We start from the raw sequence: 20,812 nt of genomic DNA, 5'->3' as shown, positions 1-20,812 counted from the left end.
TAATTTTTGTTATTTTTAGTAGAGATGGGGGTTCACTATGTTGGCCAGGCTGGTCTCAAACTCCTGACCTCAGGCGATCCACCCGCCTCAGCCTCCCAAAGGGCTGGGATTCCAGGTGTGAGCCACTGCGCCCGGCCATGTGTTAGGATTTGAAGGCCACACAGCCTCTGTCACACTACTCAGTTCTGGCCTTGTAGTGTGAAAGTTGCCACAATTTGCAAAGGAACGGGCATGGCTCTGTGACGATAAAACTTTACACAAACAGGCAGTGGCCAAGTCTGGCCCACAGGTGATAGTTTGCTGACCTCTATTTTTTGGTTTTTTTTTTTTTTTTTTTTTTTGAGATGGAGTCTCACTCTGTTGCCCAGGCTGGAGTGCAGTGGCGCAATCTCAGCTCACTGCAACCTCCGCCTCCTGGGTTCAAGCAATTCTCCTGCCTCGGCTTCCCAAGTAGCTGAGACTACAGGTGCATGCCGTCACACCCGGCTAATTTTTGTATTTTAGTAGAGACGGGGTTTCAACATGTTGCCCAGGCTGGTGGCAAACTCCTGAGCTGAGGCTATCCATCCACCTCGGCCTCCCAAAGTGCTGGGATTACAGGCGTAAGCCACCGCGCCTGGCCTGCCGACCTCTGTTTTAGAGGAAGTACTCTTAAAAGATTTAAGTTTAGATCTTTAATATACCTAGAACGGTGGCTGTAACCAGCAAGGCAGCAGCCCTGTGGCTGGAGGGTAGGCTGCCGTTGCTCCTGCCAGACACACAAGGGCTGCTCTGGCCTTGCTGCCCAGCCCACCCCTAGCACAGCTCCTTTCCAGTTCTGATCATCTCCCCCCGGTCTAGAAGCCTCTGTGCAGACAGCACACCTAGGAACAGCCTCCAGTCTTCCCACACTCAAGGCTTCATGCATGAGGGAGGGCCGGCGCACATACCTGCTGGTCTCGGTGGCCACGGGCACTGGTCTACCAGGACTGTCCCTCAGGAGGGGGTCGAACTTGAGGTATAAGGACTGCTTCCTCAAGGCCGACTCCTTAAACTGGGGACAAGAGGGCAAGTGATCAGGTCTGACTGCCATCCCCTAACACACACGGGGGCTAAGGGCCAGGGAGGTCACCTGCACACTCCCACCCCCGGTCACCCGCACACTCCCACCCCCGGTCACCCACAACCCTGCCCGAGACACCACCATTCCCAGCAGCACAGCGTGTCAGAGTTTCATCCTGGGCTAGGCACCAGGTAGAGAGCCCTAGAGCCCTGCCACAGGACACCACTTAGAGGAGGTGCTGCAGAAGGGGCCCTGGATTCACAGCCCGCCACAATGCCTGGGCCTGTGTGCAGCTGGGGGGACGTGGGCACCAAGGGACGCTCCGGGGGCAAGACCTGCCGTGGCTGCTCTCGGACACCCTGTGGGTGAGGCTTCGCGGAATTGCCTGGTACCTACCGAGGAAGTTCCAAACTGCTCCAGGTAATCCACCTCCGCGCCCGTGCCTAGAACTGAGAGGAGTGAATCATGCCGCCGCCATCGCCCCTCACCAGGGCCCTAAGGGCGGCGGGCTGGTGTCTCCCTCAGCACTCAGTGAGGCAGGATCATTCCAGCCAGCAGTATTTCCTCCCTTGGAGGTGTGGATGTTCGGGGCCTGACTGCTGTCTGCGGCAGGCGCCTCCTGGGCACCGCAGGGTGCTGAGCGGCATCCCCAGCCTCTACCCACTCCCTGCCAGCAGCACCTCCAGGTGTGACAACCACAAACATCTGGGGAAAGGCGGGGGCAAAACTGCTCTGGTTGAGAACTATTAGTCTTTAAAATTACCCTAGACAAGTCTTTTAATTTTTGATAATATAACTTTTGATTAAAACTAAGGGTGGAGGCTGAGGCGAGTGGATCACTTGAGCCCAGGAGTTCAACAGGGCAAAACCTTGTCTGTACAAAAAATACAAAAATTAGCTAGGCGCGGTGCTGCACTCCTATTACAGGGAGGCTGAGGCAGGAGAACTCCTTGAGCCTGGGAGGTGGAGGCTGCACTGAGCTGAGATTATGCCACTGCACTCCAACCTGGGCAGCGGAGGGAAAACTGTTGCAAAAAAAAAGAAAAGGTGCCTCATACCACATACAAAGATTAACTCAGAATGGATCAACACCCTAACTGTGAGAGTTAAAACTATCCTACTTTTTGTTTTGGTAGAGGAGGAGTCTTGCTACGTTGCCAGGGCTGGTCTTGAACTCCTGACTTCAAGTGATCCTCCGGTCTCGGCCTCTAAAACTATAAAACTCTTAAACTGTGGCTGGGCGCAGTAGCTCACATCTGTAATCCCAGCACTTTGGGAGGCCAAGGCAGGTGGATCACCTGAGGTCAGGAGTTTGAGGCCAGCCTGGCCAACATGGGGAAACCCTGTCTCTACGAAAAATGCAAAAATTAGTTGGGCACGGTGGCATGAGCCTGTAATCCCAGCTACTTGGGAGGCTGAGGCAGGAGAATCGCTTGAACCCAGGAGGCGGAGGTTGCAACAAGCTGAGATCATGCTACTGCACTCCAGCCTGGGCGACAGAGCAAGACTCCGTCTCGGGAAAAAAACAAACCAAACTGGTACTTTAAGACAGGGTCTTGATCTGGCTGAGATCCAGGCTGAGGCATCTCTAGTTTTGTCCCTTTCTTCATGCCTAGCAGTATTTGCTCATTCTCTCCTTTTCTCAATTAAGCTAAAAAACGGTTGCCAATTATTTAGTCTAGCAAAAACTTGTAGGTCCTTCTCTGCTATGGCCTTGTCAGTTTTCTTTTCTTTTTTTTTTTTTTGAGACAGAGTCTTGCTCTGTTGCTCAGGTGGAGTGCGGTGGCGCCATCTCGGCTCACTGCAACCTCCGCCTCCTGGGTTCAAGCGATTCTCCCGCCTCAGCCTCCCAAGTAGCTAGGATTACAGGCATGTGCCAACACACCCAGCTAATTTTTGTATTTTTAGTAGAGATGAGGTTTCACCATGTTGGCCAGGCTGATCTCAAACTCTTGATCTCAGGTGATTCGCCCTCCTCAGCCTCCCAAAGTGCTAGGATTACGGGCGTGAGCCACCGCACCTAGCCTTGTTGTCAGTTTTCATTTCTGCCTTTTTTTTCTTTCCTTCAGATAGGGTCTCGCTGTCGCCCAGACTGGAGTGCAGTAGTGCAATCATGGCTCACTGCAGCCTTGACCTCCTGGCTCAAGCGAGCCTCCCATCTCAGCTTCCCGAGCAGCTGGGACTATAGGTGTACGCCACCATGCCAGGTAATAAAAAAAAAGGTTTTTTTTGGTAGAGATGAGGTCTTGCCATGTTGCCCAGGTTAGTCTCAAACTACAGGGCTCAAACAATCCTGCCTCGGCCCCGCAAAATGCTGAGATTACAAGTGTGGGCCCCTATGCCTGGCCAAAAGCCAATACTTTGAAACATCATCTGATAAGGGACTTAACTTTGTATTTTTTCCTTTCCCTCACTTCTTGAATAAAAGGGATTTACCTCTTAAAACTCAGTAATAAAAACATAAGTGGCTCAATGGACAAGGGATCTCGACAGACACTTTCCCAAAGAAGATATCCAACGAGCACATAAAAAGACGCTCGTTCATGAGCCACCTGGGAACTGCAAATCAAAACCGCAACCAGATCCGCTTCCCACCCGCTGGAAGTCTAGGATCAACAAGACAGACAAGCAGCGCTGGCGAGGATGTGGAGAAACTGGAGCTCTCTTATAACTGCCAGTGGGAATGTGAAACACTGCAGCCACTCTGGAAGGCCACCTGGTAGCTAAAAGGTGAGCAGAGTTACTGTGACCAGCGACTCCACTCCTAGCTATGTATCCAGGAGAAATGGAAGAATACATCCACATAGAACTTACACCTGAACATTCGAGGCAGCACTACTCCTGACAGCTAAAAAGCAGAAACCAGCAAATCCATGAATGAATGGATAAGATGATGTGAAGCCAAGCTGCCACGGCAAGGACAGGAGCACCCACACCTGCTCCAGCATGGCCAGGACTCGGAAACACACCTCCCCGAGGGAGACGCCGGACACAGAAGGCCGTGCTGTGTGATTCCAGGGATCCTGCGTGAGGGTGACAGGCCCATCCCAGCTGAGCTGATATCCCCACATGGTGGCGGCCCACAACTATCCTGTCAGCGACAAACCCTACATGCCATTCGTGTCTGCTGTGTGCCTGGGTTTTCAGTTCTCTAAATTGAGATCTTATACCCACCTGGCTGTGTGTCCTTTAAAACAACTCAGCCATCAATTCCTACCAAATGCACTTTAATTTAAGGACCGTTCCACCTTCCAATCTTACGGACAAACCGTATTTATTTAACTGCAGCCTCCAATCTTACGGACAAACTGTATTTATTTAACTGCAGCCTCCAATCTTACGGACAAACCGTATTCAACTGCAGCCTCCAATCTTACGGACAAACCGTATTCAACTGCAGCCTCCAATCTTACGGACAAACCGTATTTATTTAACTGCAGCCTCCAATCTTACGGACAAACCGTATTTATTTAACTGCAGCCTCCAATCTTACGGACAAACCGTATTTATTTAACTGCAGCCTCCAATCTTACGGACAAGCCGTATTTATTTAACTGCAGCCTCCAATCTTACAGACAAACCGTATTCAAGTGCAGCCTCCAATCTTATGGACAAACCATGTTTAACTGCAGCCTCCAATCTTACAGACAAACCGTATTCAAGTGCAGCCTCCAATCTTATGGACAAACCGTATTCAACTGCAGCCTCCAGTCTTACGGACAAACCGTATTTAACTGCAGTCTGGTGTCTAAGGTTCAGGCTTCACATTTCATTATCAAGGGGTTCTGGGCCGGGCGCGGGGGCTCACGCGTGCAATCCCAGCACTTTGGGAGGCCGAGGCAGGTGGATCACTTGAGGTCAGAGTTTGAGACCAGCCTGGCCAACATGGTGAAACCCCGTTGCCACTAAAAGTACAAAAATTAGCTGGATGTGGTGGTACATGCTTGTAATCCCAGCTACTTGGGAGGCTGAGCAGGAGAATCTCTTGAACCTGGGAAGTGGAGGTTGCATTGAACCCAGATTGTGCCACTGCATTCCAGGCTGGGTGACAGAGCGAGACTATCTCAGAAAAAAAAAAGAAGGTCGTTTCAAGCAGTATTTCTGATGATCGAGTATCCAGTTGTTGACTCTACACTTGTATCTCATTAGCGCACTGCATTGTTCACCTCTCCTGCTCATTTTCCTGAGTCTACAGTTTCCATTTCTAGAAGTCTTTTATGTTAAAGGTATGAGCCCTGCTCTCCTAACACTGACTAAGTTTTGACAAACCACAAGTTTGTGCATGAGTCATTCAAAGTCAAGGGACCCAACTGCCTGCGAAATGACCACCTGCCGATGATGCAGGTGTCTCGAGCTGCCCAAGTGCTCACGGGATCCCCTCCGGGCAGACTGTGTGTGACGTCTGTGCCAGGCAACGTACCCTCAGCGGGGTCTCTGAAGCTCTCCTCTTTCAGCTCCAAGGCAGGCTGCCCCTGCTGATGGGTGGGCACTGGCTCACTGCCTGGACAGCTTGTGGGAAGCGAGGTGCTGGCAGAGTTCAAGGCTCTCTCCTGGAGGAAAGGGCAGAGTCACCCTGTGCAGTGCAGTCAAGGTACTTGGGGTGTGGCTTTGCCTCCCCACAACCTTGTTGAAGTAGACTTGGGGGAGAGGGAGCGGGACATCCCACCCCGTCACCCAAGGCTGCTGGGGGCTTCCACTGCCTGCTACTCTTCTACACGACCAGGCCAGGAGCACAGGTACCCACACAAGCACCCCTTACCTTGCTCTCTGCTGTTGGGGTCTCGGCTGCCAACTGCACCACAGGCGTGTCCTCCGCTGAGGCTGAATGCAGCTGCCTGGGGAGACAGAGTCAGCAGAGGCCCATGCCCCCCACCCCATAACCCCGGCGTCCCCTGCTCCAGCACTGAGCTGCCATCGCCTTTCCCTGCACTGCTGTGCCGGCCACGTGAACATTCAGCTAGAGCGTGCCAGGCATGGGGCTGTCCCAAGCGACCTGGCCACAAAACTGCCTCACCAACCTCACCCAGCAGGAAAACACGCGCCTTGCCTGCCAGCTCTGGGAGAAGCAGGCTGGGAGCTCTAAAGTCAGCACGATGCAGCCAAAGGGAATCACAAGGATGAGTACATCCCTTTTACTGTGAAACTGACAAAAGGCTTCAAATGTGGAGGCTGGGGCAGGTGTGGGCAGCAAGCCACCCAGGGGCCAAGGCAAGACACCAAGGGCACAAGCTGTTCCAGTATCATAAATATACAGAATAAGAATAGTTATACTAGAAATAGATTATAGATATGATTATATATGAATATCGTTAATCATTAGTTTGTAGCTTTACTCTTTATTCTAATATTATAATAATCTTTGTTCTACAATAATAACCTAGGAAACGCCGGGTGCGGTGGCTCACGCATGTAATCCCAGCACTTTGGGAGGCCGAGGCGGTCGGATCACGAGGTCATATCTAGACCATCCTGGCTAACACGGTGAAACCCCGTCTCTACTAAAAAATACAAAAAAATTAGCCGGGCATGGTGGCGGGTGCCTGCAGTCCCAGCTACTCGGGAGGCTGAGGCAGGAGAATGGTGTGAACCCGGGAGGCAGAACTCGCAGTGAGGCGAGATCACGCCACTGCGCTCCAGCCTGGGTGACAGAGCGAGACTCTGTCTCAAAAAACAAACAAACAAACAAATAACCCTAGGAAAAACCAGGCCATATAGAGATAGGAGGTGAAGGCACACGGTGAGAAAGTGACCGGAAGAGGTGTGTGAGCCCTCTGTCACGCCCGGACAGGGCCACTGGAGGGCTCCCTGGTCTAGCGGTAACACCAGCACTTGGGAAGGCACCCGTTACCTAGCTTGGTCTAGCGGTAGCACCAGTGCCTGGGAAGGCACCCGTTAATTAGACTGGGAAAGGGAGTCTCCCTTTCCCTGGGGGAGTTAGAGAAGACTCTGCTCCACCATCTCTTGTGGAATCAGTCAGGCCCGCCCGCAGCCATCCAGAGGCCTGTGTCCCTGTGATGCTGTGCTTCAGCAGTCACGCTCCTGGTCCACTTTCATGATCCGCTCTGTACACCTGGCTCTGTCTTCTAGATAGCAGTAGCAGAATTAGTCAAAGTGCTAAAGTCTTTGAAATACATAGAAAAAATAATGGCGTCAGCTGTCCTCTCTCTCCGCCTTGGCTGCCAAACAGGGAAGGGCCCAGTGGACACGTGACTTGCGTGACCTGACCTATCATTGGAGATGGCTCACACTCCTTAACCTGTCCCCTTGCCTTGTATCCAATAAGTAACAGCGCAGCCAGACATTCGGGGCCATTACCGATCTCCGTGCCTTGGTGGTAGTGGTCCCCCGGGCCCAGCTGTCTTTTCTTCTGTCTTTTTCTTGTGTCTTTATTTGTACAATCTCTTGTCTATGCACACGAGGAGAAAAAACCCACAGACCCAGTAGGGCTGGACCCTACAGGCAGGACAATCTCCCACTGAGCAACTCTAGGAGATGTAGCCTAAGACCATTCAGCCAGGAGGCAGCAGACCCACGGCCAAGACCCCAGCAAGCAGCGGACGCCACCCAGGCAGTAACAGGCTTTGCCTGGCTTTTGGAGTTACACACCCAAGTCAAGTTCACCTGAGGAGGAACATGACTGGGGGACAGGGTCCTGCCCAGGGTTGGTTGCATTTGGCTTCTGGCCTGAGCCCGCCCTTATTGGATCCCTCCTTAGGCCAGGAGCACTAAAGAGATGCATGGCAGCCAAGGCAAGGCCAAGCACCCTCAGCTGGGAGCCACCTGAGCCCTGTTTTTATCCAGAGGCCCCTCCTCAGGCAGAACCTACCCGGCCTCAAAGGAGTATCTGATGACACTTCTGGCCTCGGGTCCTGGACCACATACACTGCAGGGCAGCTGCCCCACGCCACGCTCCCCATCCCATCCTCACACTTACTGGCTCAGACAGGGACCTGGCTCCTCCGTGGCAGGCCCAGCATGCAACTGTTCAGCCGCTGGCTGGCCCAGCCTGGTCTCAGGGCTTTCTGGGGGCTGGGCCTCACTGCAACCAGACTTGGTGTCACCTCCGAACGGGATGAAGTTTGGGTCATCCATTTTGTCCCAGTCGAGGTGGTAAGAGCCCCGAGAAGCTGGCATGGGGGGGTCCTCTCCTGCTCCGCTCCTACCGTCGTCCTCCTCCACCTCCTGCGGGGCCTTTTGCTGCCTCACTGCTGCTTTCCTCAAGGGAGGCTTGAGGCCGGACCTCTCTCCCAGTCTCCTTGGTGGGGGTGCCCTTTTGCTGGTGGCGCCATCAGATACATCAAATTCTAGTTTTACAGGTCCGCTCCTCGAGGAGCTGGCCATTTGGCCTGCAGCCACTTCTTCCTGAGGACTCAGGGTCATGGCCCTGCCAGCCACCAGGTGGTTGGTTGGGGCTGTGCTCTCAGGAGCAGAGGTGTGTGCACAGGTAAGGGTCTGAGTGCCATCTGCTGGCACGGGGGTGCCCACACCCGCAGGGCAGCCCAGGGCTTCGCCAGGCAGACCCTGCAGGGGTGCTCCTCCGCAGGCTTCCTTAGGGATTGCACCAGGAGGCGAAGTGGCCACTGCTGCGGGAGCACAGACCCCACCGTGCCGGCATTCCTCCTCGGCTCCGTGCGGAGTCTCCGCTTTGCATTCTTCCTCGGCTCCGTGCGGAGTCTCCGCTTTGTGCTGGGACTCTGTCCTGCAAGGGTCTTCTAGGGTCTCAGAGGCGGGTGTCACTCTTCTGTCTAAGGAATAGGAACTAAGGTTTTCCTCCACGGCTTGCTCAGGGCTGCCAGACACTTTTCCTGGAGACACCATTTGGTTCTCAGAACTTCCTGGGCTCTGGGAAGAGCTTGAGCAGTCCAGGTCAGCCAGGGCACCTGGGCCAGACTCGCTGGAGCTGCCACTCCCAAAGGCTGGGCTTGCATCCCCCAGGAGGTCGGTGTCAGCCTCCACTGGTTTCTGTAGAATTCCATGAGTAGTTTTGGCATCCACTTCCTTGATGAGCTGTTGGCTTTTAAAAGAGACTTAATCAACGTGAAGCAGCGAGTACCTGGTGAGGTTAGGGGCCTCAGCATTCATTCTCAACATAGGTTTAACATTCTCACACCAGAAGCAGGGCTGAGTCACCCTTGGCACGGCTTCCCGTTCTCCACCCCCCACCTCAGTTCCTCAATGTAGTTCCTTCCTGTCCTCCCAGGGACCAGCTCCCGGTGGAACGGCTGGACACAACCACGTGACTTCCTCGCTGACCCCGCCCTCATGCTTCTTGGGGTTCCAAGTTACAGGGGTGCCTCTGGGCTGCTTGCCTGTTTAATTGTGCTCATCACGCGCTTTGCCAGGTGCTGGACCCAGACTCCTCCAGCAGCCTCTGCCACCCAAACAGCACTCGTCATCATGCACGAGGTCTGCCCCCAGGCCCACAGCATGCACACAGCACAGGCTGCTGCCTGGGGGGTCAGATGTGGGACAGCACACCCAAATGCCTCAAGCTGATGCCAGAGAAAGAAGCCTGGAGGCATCTCTCCCACCTGGTAGACTGGGCTCCTCAATTTCCCACCACTTCCTTTATTTTTATGTTTTTTTTTTTTGAGACGGATTTTTGCTCTGTTGCCAAGGCTGGAGTGTAATGGCATGATCTCGGCTCACTGCAACCTCCACCTCTGGGGTTCAAGCGATTCTCCTGCCTCAGCCTCCCAAGTAGCTGGGATTACAGGTGCCCGCCACCATGTCTGGCTAATTTTGTTTTGTATTTTTAGTAGAGACAGGTTTTCATCATGTTGGTCAGCCTGGTCTCAAACTCCTGACCTTAGGTGATCCACCCGCCTCGGCCTCCCAGTGCTAGGATTACAGGCAGGAGCCACCGCACCCGGCATCCACCATTTCCTGTAAAAAATCCATTCGAGCACCTGCCCACCAGCATACAGTGACCCCACCCTACTCCCCGATAGACAAGGCTGGCTGCCACCCTCTCAGCTGTCCCCTGCCTATGCTCCAGGGCCTGGCCCCAGTCCTCTGTGTGGCCTCCAGCCTGCTGTGGGCCTGTAAGTCATATAATCATTATTTCCGCCTGTGTTTCTCCTAATCACTGAAGGGTGTGCACCACTTAATGACCCTGAATTCTAACATTAAGGGACCTGACAGCATTCCGATAACACTTTAATCTGCGTGAAAACATCAGCTACAAGCAAAACAAGAAAGCTCAGTCAACATTGTCCTGTGGCTTAAACCTCACCCGAGGACATGCCCAACAGATCAGTCCTGGGGACTTGCAGGCCCCAGGATGGCCAGCAGGGGGCGTGGTAAACAAAGGTTTTCTGCATGAATCTGCTTTCCCCTTCAAGTCGGGGACTGGCAGTGCTGTGGCCAGGGACAGTCAAAGCCTTCACTGAAGGGCAGGGCTGAGGTGCAGGATGCCACCTGCAGGCACAGAAGGACCTGAGTGGCCTCTGCGACGCCTCCCTGGGATGGCGCCTGCTACAGTGGAGTGGCACAGGTGCAGAGAACACCTTCCCAGGGACCCACCTGTCTCTGGGGCACTCGCTGCTCACAATGTGGGACTGCATGGCGCAGGGCCCCTGACAGAAGAGGCGGCTGTTGGGATGGTTGGGGCTGGACTACAACACAGAGGGCACAAACACTGTTTCACCTGTTCCCCAGCCTTCAGGTCCCTGAGAAGACGCAGGGTCATGTGCCAGTGCCTCAGATAAGGGGCCCATGTCACCTGCCCTTCTCTTCCAACTCTAAGTTTGAAGATGTCAAAACTGAGAAACTGAGGGTGAGGGACCTGTCAGACTGCTCACAACTCCTCTGCTGCCCAGCTGCCACCTTGGGGCGGCACTGCCTTCCCAGGCGGCCACTCGGCTGTCCTCTGAATGACACGTGGGCAGCTGCACGCAGCGGCTGCTCTTGGTCTCATCCCACTGACGTGGGAGCACCACAGTGACCACCACCTGGGCCTCAGCAGAGTTCCAGAAAGGAGATGACAGCCACGAGTCCAAGCCACAAGCTCAGAGTCACTCTGGCTGGAGCCCCTCAGGGCCAACCTCTCAAGCCCCTCCCAGCTCCTCTACACCCTCTGCCCTATGGAGGCTGCTGGGTGATCCTGGAGGCATAGGGGAGAGGCAGGGGATCTGTGGCTCTGGGACGGATCACACCCATGGCAGCTGGGAGGCGACTTCTCTGCTGCTGGGTCTCCCTTCCTTCTTGGGGTCGTTGTAAACCAATGTTTGATTCATTCTCGCTTCGTTTGACCAAATTTCAAAAGGGGCAAAAAACAAAGTTGAAAAGTAGCAAGCAGACATGGGAAGAACTGCAAATTCAGGCTGGAGGGGTAGAGGGGAGACGGACCCAGGGCCCAGAGAAGGATGTAGGAAATGCTGCCTGCACTTACTGGTGACATTTTATCTCAGGGGGTGAGAAGCATCAGTGGTATTCTGTTCCTTATGCTTTTCTCTGCACATCTAAAATCTGCTTAAAAGTTTTGGGCCAGCCGGGCGTGGTGGCTCATGCCTGTAATCCCAGCACTTTGGGAGGCCGAGGCCGGCAGATCACCTGAGGTCGGGAGTTCAAGACCAGCCTGACCAACACGGATAAACCCCATATTTACTAAAAATACACAAAATTAGCCAGGTGTGGTGGCGCATGCCTGTAATCCCAGCTACTCGGAGGCTGAGGCAGGAGAATCGTTTGAACCTGGGAGGCGGAGGTTGTGGTGAGTTAAGATCGCACCATTGCACTCCAGCCTGAGCAACAAGAATGAAACTCCGTGTAAAAAAAAAAAAAAAAAAAAAATTGGCCGGGCATGGTGGCTCACAGTTGTAGTCCCAGCTACTAAGGAGGCCAAGGTGGAGGACTGCTTGAGCCCAGGAGGTTGAGGCTGCAGTGAGCTGTGATGGCACCACGGCACTCCAGCCTGGGTGACAGAGCGAAACTCTGTCTCAAAACAACAGCAACAACAGTTACATCAGCAAAAAACCAACAGAAAATCATGCCTCTGGGGTCCCTTCCCACCCTGGATGCAGATGAGGTGTTCCTGGGTGCCCAGACAGATTAGTTCAGCCGCAGAGTAAAGAGCTGCCACCAGGATCCTCCCTTTCTAGGCAAAGACAGACACCGCCTCGCCATCCACTTGCAGTTAAGAATCAGGTCGGCTAAAAAATTAGCCGGGAGTGGTGGCGGCGGGCGCCTGTAGCCCCAGCTACTCGGGAGGCTGAGGCAGGAGAATGGCATGAACCTGGGAGGTGGAGTTTGCAGTGAGCCGAAATCGAGCCACTGCACTCCAGCCTGGGTGACAGAGCCAGACTCTGTCTCCAGAAAAAAAAAAAAAAAAAAAAAAAAAAGTGAAGTATGAAGTTATCCAAGTATCTGATGATCGACTTTTCTGTTAGTGAACTGGCCATATGCTGCATACACTCAGTGCAGATTTCAGGAGAAATCCAGCCAAGGCCGGCCGGGCGTGGTGGCTCACACCTGTAATCCCAGCACTTTGTGAGGCCAAGGCGGGCGCATCATGAGGTCAGGAGGAGATCAAGACCATCCTGGCTAACACGGTGAAACCCCTTCTTTACTAAAAATACAAAAAAATTAGCCGGGCGTGGTGGCAGGCGCCTGTAGTCCCAGCTACTTGGAAGGCTGAGGCAGGAGAATGGCATGAACCTGGGGGGCGGAGCTTGCAGTGAGCGGACATCGCGCCACTGCACTCCAGCGTGGGCAACAGAGCGAGACTCCATCTCAAACAAACAAACAAAAAATCCAGCCAAGGCCTGATAGAACAAGACAGCACTTTCCTGCAAGAACCATCGGACAGAGAGGGTGAAGCTCCAGCATGTCCAGCAGCACCAACACTTACTTCTCTTTCTGTGTCCAGACCGGGTGTGAGTTTTCCAGTCCAAGGGTGTCATCCTGAGTGAAAGGAGCCTCAAGTTTGCTGGCCATGCTAGGACTTAGAATCCTGTGCGTCTGTGGATCCCGCAGAGGTGTCTGAAAAGTCACCTGTTGCGGAGTGAGGAGGAGAGCACCTATTCATTAGTTCAAGCTGTTACAGCCACACCAGCAGTGTCCTGCAGCTCAGAGGTCACCAAGAAAGCAGGCCCTAGGGCAACCTGGCCAGCCACACACTGTACAGGTCACACTTACCTTCATAGCTTTGGCCAGGTTCTTGGGTGGCACATTTTCTTTCTGTGACACACGAAGAACAGACGATCTTCCGGTAACTTCTGGTGGCGAAAACAGGAAGTCGCAATTTTCTGTATTTTTTTCATTGCTGACATTTTTGTCGTTTAAGACCTGCAGACTCATTCTGGAAAAGCAGAACATGTTTGTGTCAGTGTGAGGGCAACACTACCACATTGTCCAGACACAGACGTGACAGCTGCTGCAAGGGGCACGACCACTTCCCACACAGGTGTGCTCATTGCTCTGGAACTCACACCTCCCACACGTGTCTCTTGGCAGAGAAAGCCTCAGACTGAGTCCCCATCTTGCTTCAGAGACTCACTCTCCAGCCTGGCAGGGGGAGCCATGGGCAGCACTGCTGCTTCCTGGGACCAAGAGCTAAAGGGCCTTCAGGCTGAGATGGTGAGAAAGAAAACCCAAGCCTGCATAATCTCTACTGCTGTATTACTATATCAAGCAGAAGTCAAGAGACGGAAAAGCCCGGGCCAATAAGAAACCCGGATGAGCCAGAGGAAGCCCTGGTCTCCCCACAGGCCTCTGCGTGTGACGTGAGGCAGGACCGGGCAGTAGAGGGCAGAAAAGCAGGACAGCGGCTCTGGTCTGCTCTCTCCCACCGGGCTAGGCAGCGGGACAAGACCAGGCTGAGAGGGTGAAGGCCCAGAGGAGGAGCTGGGAGACGATGCGCAAACAAGGGAAGCCCAGAGCTGAGCAACAGGTGCCAAGGAACTTCCACATCAGAGCCTCCAGTCAGTCCCAGGTTCCAGGGCTGCCCAGGTCCTCACGCCGGTCACCCACACACTTGCCACCCTTTCTGTCTACAGCGTTCCCAGTCTAGGGAATGACGTAGGGAAAAAGGCTGCCAGAGAGAACCGAGTGTCGACCAGGGCAGGAACCCCACAGGCACCTGGTGGTGGAGGGGGACCTGGGGAGGCTTTGATTTGAAGAAGAGCAAAGTTGGGGAGGGTCCTGGAGAAGAGAGAGGGGGCAGCCCCGGCAGGTCGGTGCTGCAGCTTGAGAAGCCCACTGTGGTGCTGTGTGTGGGTGGGGAGGTTAAGAGCAGAAGGGAAGCAGGGAAACCACAGGCTTCTGGAGCCCAAGGAGTAGATGCCAGACCAGACCCGGGCCTGGCCACTGGCACATATGGGACTTACGGACGACGCTTAGGTTTTCGCCCTGAATAACTGGGTACAGGGCAGGGGAAGGGGTGCTGGATCGCTGGGGGACCCGCAAGCCTCGAACTCAGGGAGAAAGTGACTCGGAGGAAGCCTTCTGGCGGCCTGGAGGAGCTCGGGAGAGCAGCAGACCCAGCCTTAGTCAGGAGGGGCCTTTACTGACTATGGAGGCCCGGGAGGGGCTCTGGGCAGAGAAGGGACCGGCCCCAGGCTGGTGCTTTGGTGCTACTCTGGTGCACAAGAGGGATGCGGTGCGGGGGGAAGGTGGAGCGGCGCAGCAGGTGCGGGGAAGCGGTAGGGGCCCAGGTGTCCGCCGCAGGCGGCCTAGATGGAGTTGGCCCCAGGACGGAGGCCGGAAGGGACCAAAGAACAACAGGAGGGTCCGCGTGCTGGGAGCCAACAAAGAGCCAAGGTGGGCGACCGAGAGACAGGAGAGGGTCGAGGAGAGCAAAGCACCTCGGGGCGCCCGCTCCGCCGTCGGTCTTGGCCCAGCTCTAGCCGCCCCTGGCCACCATCCAGGGGGCCCAGCCCGGCGGTCGGTCTAGGGCCGGGTCCCATGACAGGGCGCGGTACAGGTTCTGGCGGCGGCCCCAGGAGGAGCCGTGGGGGACGCTTCCCGGGGAAAGCGGCGGCCGGGGCGGGAGGGCGAGGGCCGAGGGCGGGGCGGGGCGGGACGGCCTCGCGCCCCCAGGACCCCAGCCTCCCCGCGCCGTGTAGCCGCTCTCCTACCTGCCCGCCCGCCCGTTGCCGGGCTCTGAGCCCGCGCCGCCGCCGCCAGGAAGGAGGGGTCCGCGTCTGCTCCACGCCGGGGGCCAAGCCTAGCTGCTACCGCCGTCGCGCTTCTAGCCCTTGATGGCCGCCGGCGCGCCGGAGTTTCAAACGCCGACGGTTGCCTTCGCGCGGCCAATCAGCGCGCGGCCGGGGGCAGGACCGCAGGAGGGCGGGCGTCCAATGGGAAGCTGTGCCTCGCCGGCTCCGCCCTCCCTCCCCCCCCACCCCCCGCTCGGGCGCCGACGGTTCCGTTTCCGGAGTGGAGGGCACGCCAGGGTGTCTGAAGCTGAGACCCCGGGCTCGCAGTCGCCCCATGAATTTCGAGTTCCGCAACTGACGCTACTGGGCGGGGCTTCATGGCCAGGGCCTCGCTCAGGCCTAAGTTTCCCCACCTGTGCTCAATGCACAGGTGCGGTGCCGCCTCCAGGGCCGGCCGAGAAGAGAGGCCGCACCCGCACGGGGACTGCATCTCCCAGAGCGCCCCGCGAGCGGCCGAGCGGCGGGACTCCATGCCCTAGAGTGCCCCGCGGGCGGCCGGGCGGCGGGACTCCATGTCCTAGAGTGCCCCGCGGGCGGCCGGGCGGCGGGACTCCATGTCCTAGAGTGCCCCGCGGGCGGCCGGGCGGCGGGACTCCATGTCCTAGAGTGCCCCGCGGGCGGCCGGGCGGCGGCCGCCGCAACCGACAGGTCCGGGACTGGGCGCTGCGGCCTCGTCCGCGCGCCGGGGCGGGGGCCTAGCTCGACAGCTTCCCGGCGGCTGCGCGATGGACAGCCCCGAGGTGACCTTCACTCTCGCCTATCTGGTGTTCGCCGTGTGCTTCGTGTTCACGCCCAACGAGTTCCACGCGGCGGGGCTCACGGTGCAGAACCTGCTGTCGGGCTGGCTGGGCAGCGAGGACGCCGCCTTCGTGCCCTTCCACTTGCGCCGCACGGCCGCCACGCTGTTGTGCCACTCGCTGCTGCCGCTCGGTGAGGCTGCTCGGGCCGGCCGGCCGCATCCTCTCCTGCGCAGGGCTTGCTGGGAGGTCAGGAGGAGGCCTCCGCCAGCTCCCCGAGGCCCCGAAAGCGCCTGGGCGCAGCTGGGGAGAGGCGCCGGTCCTCATCCAGAGGGACCGCGGCGTGGGCTGAGCGCGCTTAGGGGCGCCGCCGGCACTGACTTGCAGGTGACGGGAACCCAAGTTCAGAACCTTGGGCAAGGGATGCTCCGGCCCACCAAGTCCTGAACCGTCACGTGCCTGGGGGTTGCAAGGCCAAGCAGCCCTTGCTTGTCGTGGTTGGGGGCAGTGGCCAGGAGAAGGCAACTGTTGATTGAGTCCAACGGAAGGGGTCGGAGGGGCTGTGTGGAGGGTGGCACTGCACTAGGCCTTGGAAGGTGGGTGTGGAGAGAACAGGCGGATTTGGAGGCAGTTCCAGTTTGGGGGCGCCACAGGGGCAGAGGCTGGGGAGGGCCTCTGTGCAGTGCAGGTGGGACGCTCAGAGTTGTCCAGGGGGGTGCTGGGCTGGGCCCCAGGTGCTAGCTGGGGCTCTGGAAGGTCCCTCTCTCAGCTGATTGGATGACGGACAGGTGGGAGGTGGGGTGTGCAGTGGCTGGAGGGGGATTTCAAGGGGGTACCTCTGGAGGACACGGGGGCAGACGCAGCCCTGGGAGGACAGATGGCCAGTGGCTGGCCAGGTTTGCCACTCTGGGGATACAAGAGGGGTGACCCTCCACATCCTGGTTTGAGGATGCAGCTGCCTGGGCCCAGAAGAACTGGAGGCAGGTGTCGGGTGGAGGCGCCCAGGCCTGCCTCATGGAGAGGGTGGGCTGGGGGCCCACTTGAGAGATGGATGGGGCTGAGTGGGGCTGGGGCCCTGACCAGGCCACTTTCTAGGGCTACTGGGTGGGTTTCTGTAGCCCTTCCAGCTGCACCCTCCCCAGAGGCCTATGAGGGACCACAAGTGAATTGTGGCAGCCACACCTGGAGCAGACAGCACAGCTGGCCTCACAGTCGGATGTCAAGCTCTTTTTATTTTTAACTTAGTTTGAAAGTTTTCAAGCTTTATTAGGTATTAGTTACCTGTTTTATTTTTATTTTTACTTTTTGAGACGGAGCCTCGCTCTGTCACCCAGGCTGGAGTGCAGTGGCATGATCTCGGCTCACTGCAACTTCGGCCTCCTGAGTAGCTGGGACTACAGGCGCCCGCCACCACGCCCGGCTAATTTTTTGTATTTTTTAGTGGAGATGGGGTTTCACCGTGTTAGCCAGGATGGTCTCGATCTGACCTCGTGATCCGTCCGCCTCGGCTTCCCAAAGTGCTGGGATTACAGGTGTGAGCCACTGCACCCGGCCCCTAGTTACCTATTGTTATATGTCATGTTACCTTGAAATGCAGTGACTGGGCCAACTCCAAATGTGGACTATTACTTTTTGCCAACTGGAACCTGCTGGTGCAACTCCTCACCATCTCCATGGCTTATTTGGACCTTCAAATTGTCCTCGATCTGGCCAGCAGGGCCCTGAAGCTGGCTCCGTGTCCTCTGGACATGTCCCATCATTCTTTGAGACTTGCTTCCTTTCTCGCACATAACTTTTCAGCTCTGGGATGCACCACATTTGATCAGCCTCCTCAGAGCGGGTGAGATTGAGAGACTGAGATCCTGTCCAGGCAGCTGCCCTGGCAGGCCAGGGGTCAGCTCTGCCTGAGGTGACACCTGATTGTGTTTATTTTTCCCTTTCTAGGCTTTTGTAGTTTTTTCAACACTTACGTATTGTGTGAAACTAAAGCAGCAAATTAAAAACCTTTTCCGCTAATATATCCTGCCTTTGCCACAGGCAGGGAGAGAGTGGCCGGCTGGGGAAGTGCAGAGTGGGTAAAGCCCAATTACCCTGGGAGCTGACCCTGGAACCCGGGCAGAGGGCCAGGTCCAGGGCTGTCGGGGGGTGGACAGCGGCCTGCCACTCACTTTCCCCTGAGGCTCACCCTGTCCTTTGCAGGCTACTATGTGGGCATGTGCCTTGCGGCTTCAGAAAAGCGGCTCCACGCCCTCAGCCAGGCCCCTGAGGCCTGGCGGCTCTTCCTGCTGCTGGCCGTGACCCTCCCCTCCATCGCCTGCATCCTGATCTACTACTGGTCCCGTGACCGGTGGGCCTGCCACCCACTGGCGCGCACCCTGGCCCTCTACGCCCTCCCACAGTCTGGCTGGCAGGCTGTTGCCTCCTCTGTCAACACTGAGTTCCGGCGGATTGACAAGTTTGCCACCGGTGCACCAGGTGCCCGTGTGATTGTGACAGACACGTGGGTGATGAAGGTAACCACCTACCGAGTGCACGTGGCCCAGCAGCAGGACGTGCACCTGACTGTGACGGAGTCTCGGCAGCATGAGCTCTCGCCAGACTCGAACTTGCCCGTGCAGCTCCTCACCATCCGTGTGGCCAGCACCAACCCTGCTGTGCAGGCCTTTGACATCTGGTAAGAGTGTGGTGCCTGTGGGGCTGCGGAGGGCACATGGCAGGCCAGAGCCAGGCTCTGGTGCCACGACCCCTGGGAGGTGCTGGGTGTAGCTGGTGTGGACTCCAACACTCCTGGGCTTGTGTGACACCAGGCAAGGTGTCCACAAGACACCAGTCACTGAGCCCTCCCGCATAGCCCTCCCTCGGGTCCCCCTGCACTCTTGGCCTCCCCTTCCACTCCCTGGAGCCACCTCCCCCAGATTCTTGGGGAGCACTCAGGACAGTGCAGCCCTCAGGCTGGACAGCTGCCTTGCTCCTAGGTCCGTCCCGTGCCCAGGCTGGGCTGTCTGGCACTGGGTCCGTGGGCTCTGGCCTTAGGGCCATCTCTCCTGGTTGGTCCTGGTGCGACAGCTGCCCTGTCACTCCTTGGGGTGTAGCCTCCATCTTCCGCTCCCTTTGCCCTGCAGAGGGGCCCAGCAGCTCTCCTCCCTGCAGGCTGAACTCCACTGAGTACGGGGAGCTCTGCGAGAAGCTCCGGGCACCCATCCGCAGGGCAGCCCATGTGGTCATCCACCAGAGCCTGGGCGACCTGTTCCTGGAGACATTTGCCTCCCTGGTAGAGGTCAACCCGGCCTACTCAGTGCCCAGCAGCCAGGTGGGGGGCCTGGGCCAGGGCCGGGTGGATGGGTGGGTGCCCACGGGTGTCTGCCTGGGCTCCTGGTGACGCTCCACCTGCCCGCAGGAGCTGGAGGCCTGCATAGGCTGCATGCAGACACGTGCCAGCGTGAAGCTGGTGAAGACCTGCCAGGAGGCAGCCACAGGCGAGTGCCAGCAGTGTTACTGCCGCCCCATGTGGTGCCTCACCTGCATGGGCAAGTGGTTCGCCAGCCGCCAGGACCCCCTGCGCCCTGACACCTGGCTGGCCAGCCGCGTGCCCTGCCCCACCTGCCGCGCACGCTTCTGCATCCTGGATGTGTGCACCGTGCGCTGAGTGGGCTGGGGCCTTGAGGTGACTCTGTGTCTCCCCCCAAAGCCACAGGGCAGGGAAGGGGGTGGCTGGGCCTCCTGGCTGGCAAAGGGCTCTACTTAAAGCACATGATGTAGAGCAACTCGCCTCTGCCCTGGGTCTGCAGAAGGCTGAGGACTTTTGGTTAAAAGCAATCCTCATGAAAACACCCCACCCTGCTTGGCAGCCAGGGTACAAGTCCTGGGCACCTCCTCTTTGCCTCCCTCCTGCCCCTTTCCTGCTGGTGGGGGCAGATCCTGCACACACAGACACAGCGTCTGCCCCCGAGCCATTCCCTGGAGACCCTGGGTCTACCCCAGGTGGTCGTCATCTGGGCCATTTGCCTTACTTCTCTGGAGCATACCCACCCTCAGTTACGTGCCAGACCTGGACCGCATTCTCCTGCCCTGTCCTGGAGCTGGCCCCTGGCTGCCTGGAGGACCCTGGGTAGGTCCTGAGGGTGGGATGGAGAAGAGGGCACTGCTGTGGTGTGGGAGCAGTCCTGGGGCTTCCTGGTGGCTGTGACCAGTTGAGGGGCTGTTCCTGGGTGGGGTGGCAATGGGAGGACAGGTCAGAGCGCCCTCATTTGTGGGGCTGCCCCTCCGGGTTTCTCATCCTGTCCTTGGTGCCTTTTTCTGCCCAACAAGTCCAGGGAAGGCCGAGGTCTCAGACTCCTGGGTAGGGGTGGGGGTTTGAGTTGAGGACCAAAGTGCCATAGCGACATCCAGAACACAAGCCCACCAGGGGTCCAGCCCAGGCTACCCACTCCCCTAGGGTCTCCCAGGCTCAGAAGGGGATGCACGCCCCCTGTGGTCAAGCCTCTGGTGGGCGTCTTGCCCAGTTCCTGATGGTTCAAGGGGAGGGGGGATGTTGGCCAGGCCCCAGGGCACAGCCCTGACACAGGTGTGGCTACTGGAGGGGCCTTCATACCTGCGGCCCCAAAGCCCCTGGGCTTGGCTGTTTGAGGCAGAGGTGATGGACTCCGGGGGCCTGACACTTGGGATTTGGGAGGCTTCCTAGAGCGCTCAGCAGGTGAAGGCAGCAGGGGCCATGGCCGGGAGCCAGGCCTAGCTTTGAACTGAGTTTCAAGGGCTGCCAAAGAGGGGCAGTGGGTTGGGGTTGTTTTTACTACAAAATAAGTTACTTAGTTTTATAAAGACAAACCGATTGTAGCCAAATGACACCATATTTAATAAAATTTAGTCTGAAGTGA

General features: G+C 57.0%; 2 protein-coding genes across 26 annotated transcripts in view, besides 7 other annotated features; one reads left to right on the top strand and one right to left on the bottom strand.

The window, feature by feature from the left end:
- Positions 1-16,133, bottom strand: part of TACC3 (transforming acidic coiled-coil containing protein 3) — a 24,541-nt gene extending 8,408 nt beyond the window's left edge. For 12 of the 24 annotated variants that reach the window (NR_199819.1, NR_199818.1, NR_199820.1 and 9 more), the window contains exons 1-8: positions 15,121-15,243; positions 13,181-13,343; positions 12,894-13,036; positions 7,977-9,056; positions 5,802-5,877; positions 5,463-5,592; positions 1,439-1,491; positions 930-1,033 (exon numbers count right to left, since the gene is read on the bottom strand). Coding sequence is in view for 21 of the 24 variants with exons in the window: in NM_001441305.1 (NP_001428234.1) it covers positions 930-1,033; positions 1,439-1,491; positions 5,463-5,592; positions 5,802-5,877; positions 7,977-9,056; positions 12,894-13,036; positions 13,181-13,342 (1,748 nt within the window). In the remaining 3 variants the exon portion in view is untranslated. Of the gene's footprint in view, positions 1-929; positions 1,034-1,438; positions 1,492-5,462; positions 5,593-5,801; positions 5,878-7,976; positions 9,057-12,893; positions 13,063-13,180; positions 13,344-14,847; positions 15,244-15,554 lie in introns of those variants that run through there. The other 12 variants (NM_001441306.1, NM_001441311.1, NM_001441318.1 and 9 more) reach the window with 10 other exon arrangements.
- Positions 5,511-6,011: an enhancer, noted in NCBI's record as "H3K4me1 hESC enhancer chr4:1732480-1732980 (GRCh37/hg19 assembly coordinates)". NCBI's record gives its function as "activates a minimal SCP1, AML or CMV promoter by ChIP-STARR-seq in naive H9 embryonic stem cells {active_cell/tissue: H9 hESC(naive)}" and the evidence as "EXISTENCE:reporter gene assay evidence [ECO:0000049][PMID:30033119]".
- Positions 14,413-15,408: an enhancer, noted in NCBI's record as "H3K27ac-H3K4me1 hESC enhancer chr4:1723083-1724078 (GRCh37/hg19 assembly coordinates)". NCBI's record gives its function as "activates a minimal SCP1, AML or CMV promoter by ChIP-STARR-seq in primed H9 embryonic stem cells {active_cell/tissue: H9 hESC(primed)}" and the evidence as "EXISTENCE:reporter gene assay evidence [ECO:0000049][PMID:30033119]".
- Positions 14,413-15,840: a biological region, named in NCBI's record as "H3K27ac-H3K4me1 hESC enhancer GRCh37_chr4:1723083-1724078".
- Positions 15,031-15,840: a silencer, noted in NCBI's record as "silent region_15141". NCBI's record gives its function as "represses an Ori minimal core promoter by ATAC-STARR-seq in GM12878 lymphoblastoid cells {active_cell/tissue: GM12878}" and the evidence as "EXISTENCE:reporter gene assay evidence [ECO:0000049][PMID:35858748]".
- On the top strand, positions 15,441-20,812 carry TMEM129 (transmembrane protein 129, E3 ubiquitin ligase). Of its 2 annotated transcripts, NM_001127266.2 has the most exons (4): positions 15,441-16,131; positions 18,138-18,612; positions 19,089-19,248; positions 19,336-20,812. In NM_001127266.2, the coding sequence occupies exons 1-4, from the start codon at positions 15,927-15,929 to the stop codon at positions 19,582-19,584; spliced, it is 1,089 nt and encodes a 362-aa protein (NP_001120738.1). In that variant the 5' UTR covers positions 15,441-15,926; the 3' UTR covers positions 19,585-20,812. The 2 variants fall into 2 exon arrangements, with proteins under 2 accessions (NP_001120738.1, NP_612394.1); NM_138385.4 differs by lacking the exon at positions 19,089-19,248.
- Positions 15,851-15,900: a silencer, noted in NCBI's record as "silent region_15140". NCBI's record gives its function as "represses an Ori minimal core promoter by ATAC-STARR-seq in GM12878 lymphoblastoid cells {active_cell/tissue: GM12878}" and the evidence as "EXISTENCE:reporter gene assay evidence [ECO:0000049][PMID:35858748]".
- Positions 16,491-16,590: an enhancer, noted in NCBI's record as "active region_21160". NCBI's record gives its function as "activates an Ori minimal core promoter by ATAC-STARR-seq in GM12878 lymphoblastoid cells {active_cell/tissue: GM12878}" and the evidence as "EXISTENCE:reporter gene assay evidence [ECO:0000049][PMID:35858748]".
- Positions 17,231-17,310: an enhancer, noted in NCBI's record as "active region_21159". NCBI's record gives its function as "activates an Ori minimal core promoter by ATAC-STARR-seq in GM12878 lymphoblastoid cells {active_cell/tissue: GM12878}" and the evidence as "EXISTENCE:reporter gene assay evidence [ECO:0000049][PMID:35858748]".

This window comes from Homo sapiens, chromosome 4 (assembly GCF_000001405.40).
Source record: "Homo sapiens chromosome 4, GRCh38.p14 Primary Assembly".
Classification (NCBI taxonomy): domain Eukaryota; kingdom Metazoa; phylum Chordata; class Mammalia; order Primates; family Hominidae; genus Homo; species Homo sapiens.
The sequence above is the reverse complement of the archived record's forward strand: the minus strand, read 5'-3'. Positions and strand labels throughout refer to the sequence as shown.

Excerpts from the sequence above, each read along its gene's own strand:
- TMEM129 (NM_001127266.2), top strand. The coding sequence starts at position 15,927 with ATGGACAGCCCCGAGGTGACCTTCACTCTCGCCTATCTGGTGTTCGCC. Across the intron at positions 16,132-18,137 it reads CCACTCGCTGCTGCCGCTCG|GCTACTATGTGGGCATGTGC; the intron begins GTGAGGCTGCTC and ends TGTCCTTTGCAG. Across the intron at positions 19,249-19,335 it reads ACTCAGTGCCCAGCAGCCAG|GAGCTGGAGGCCTGCATAGG; the intron begins GTGGGGGGCCTG and ends ACCTGCCCGCAG.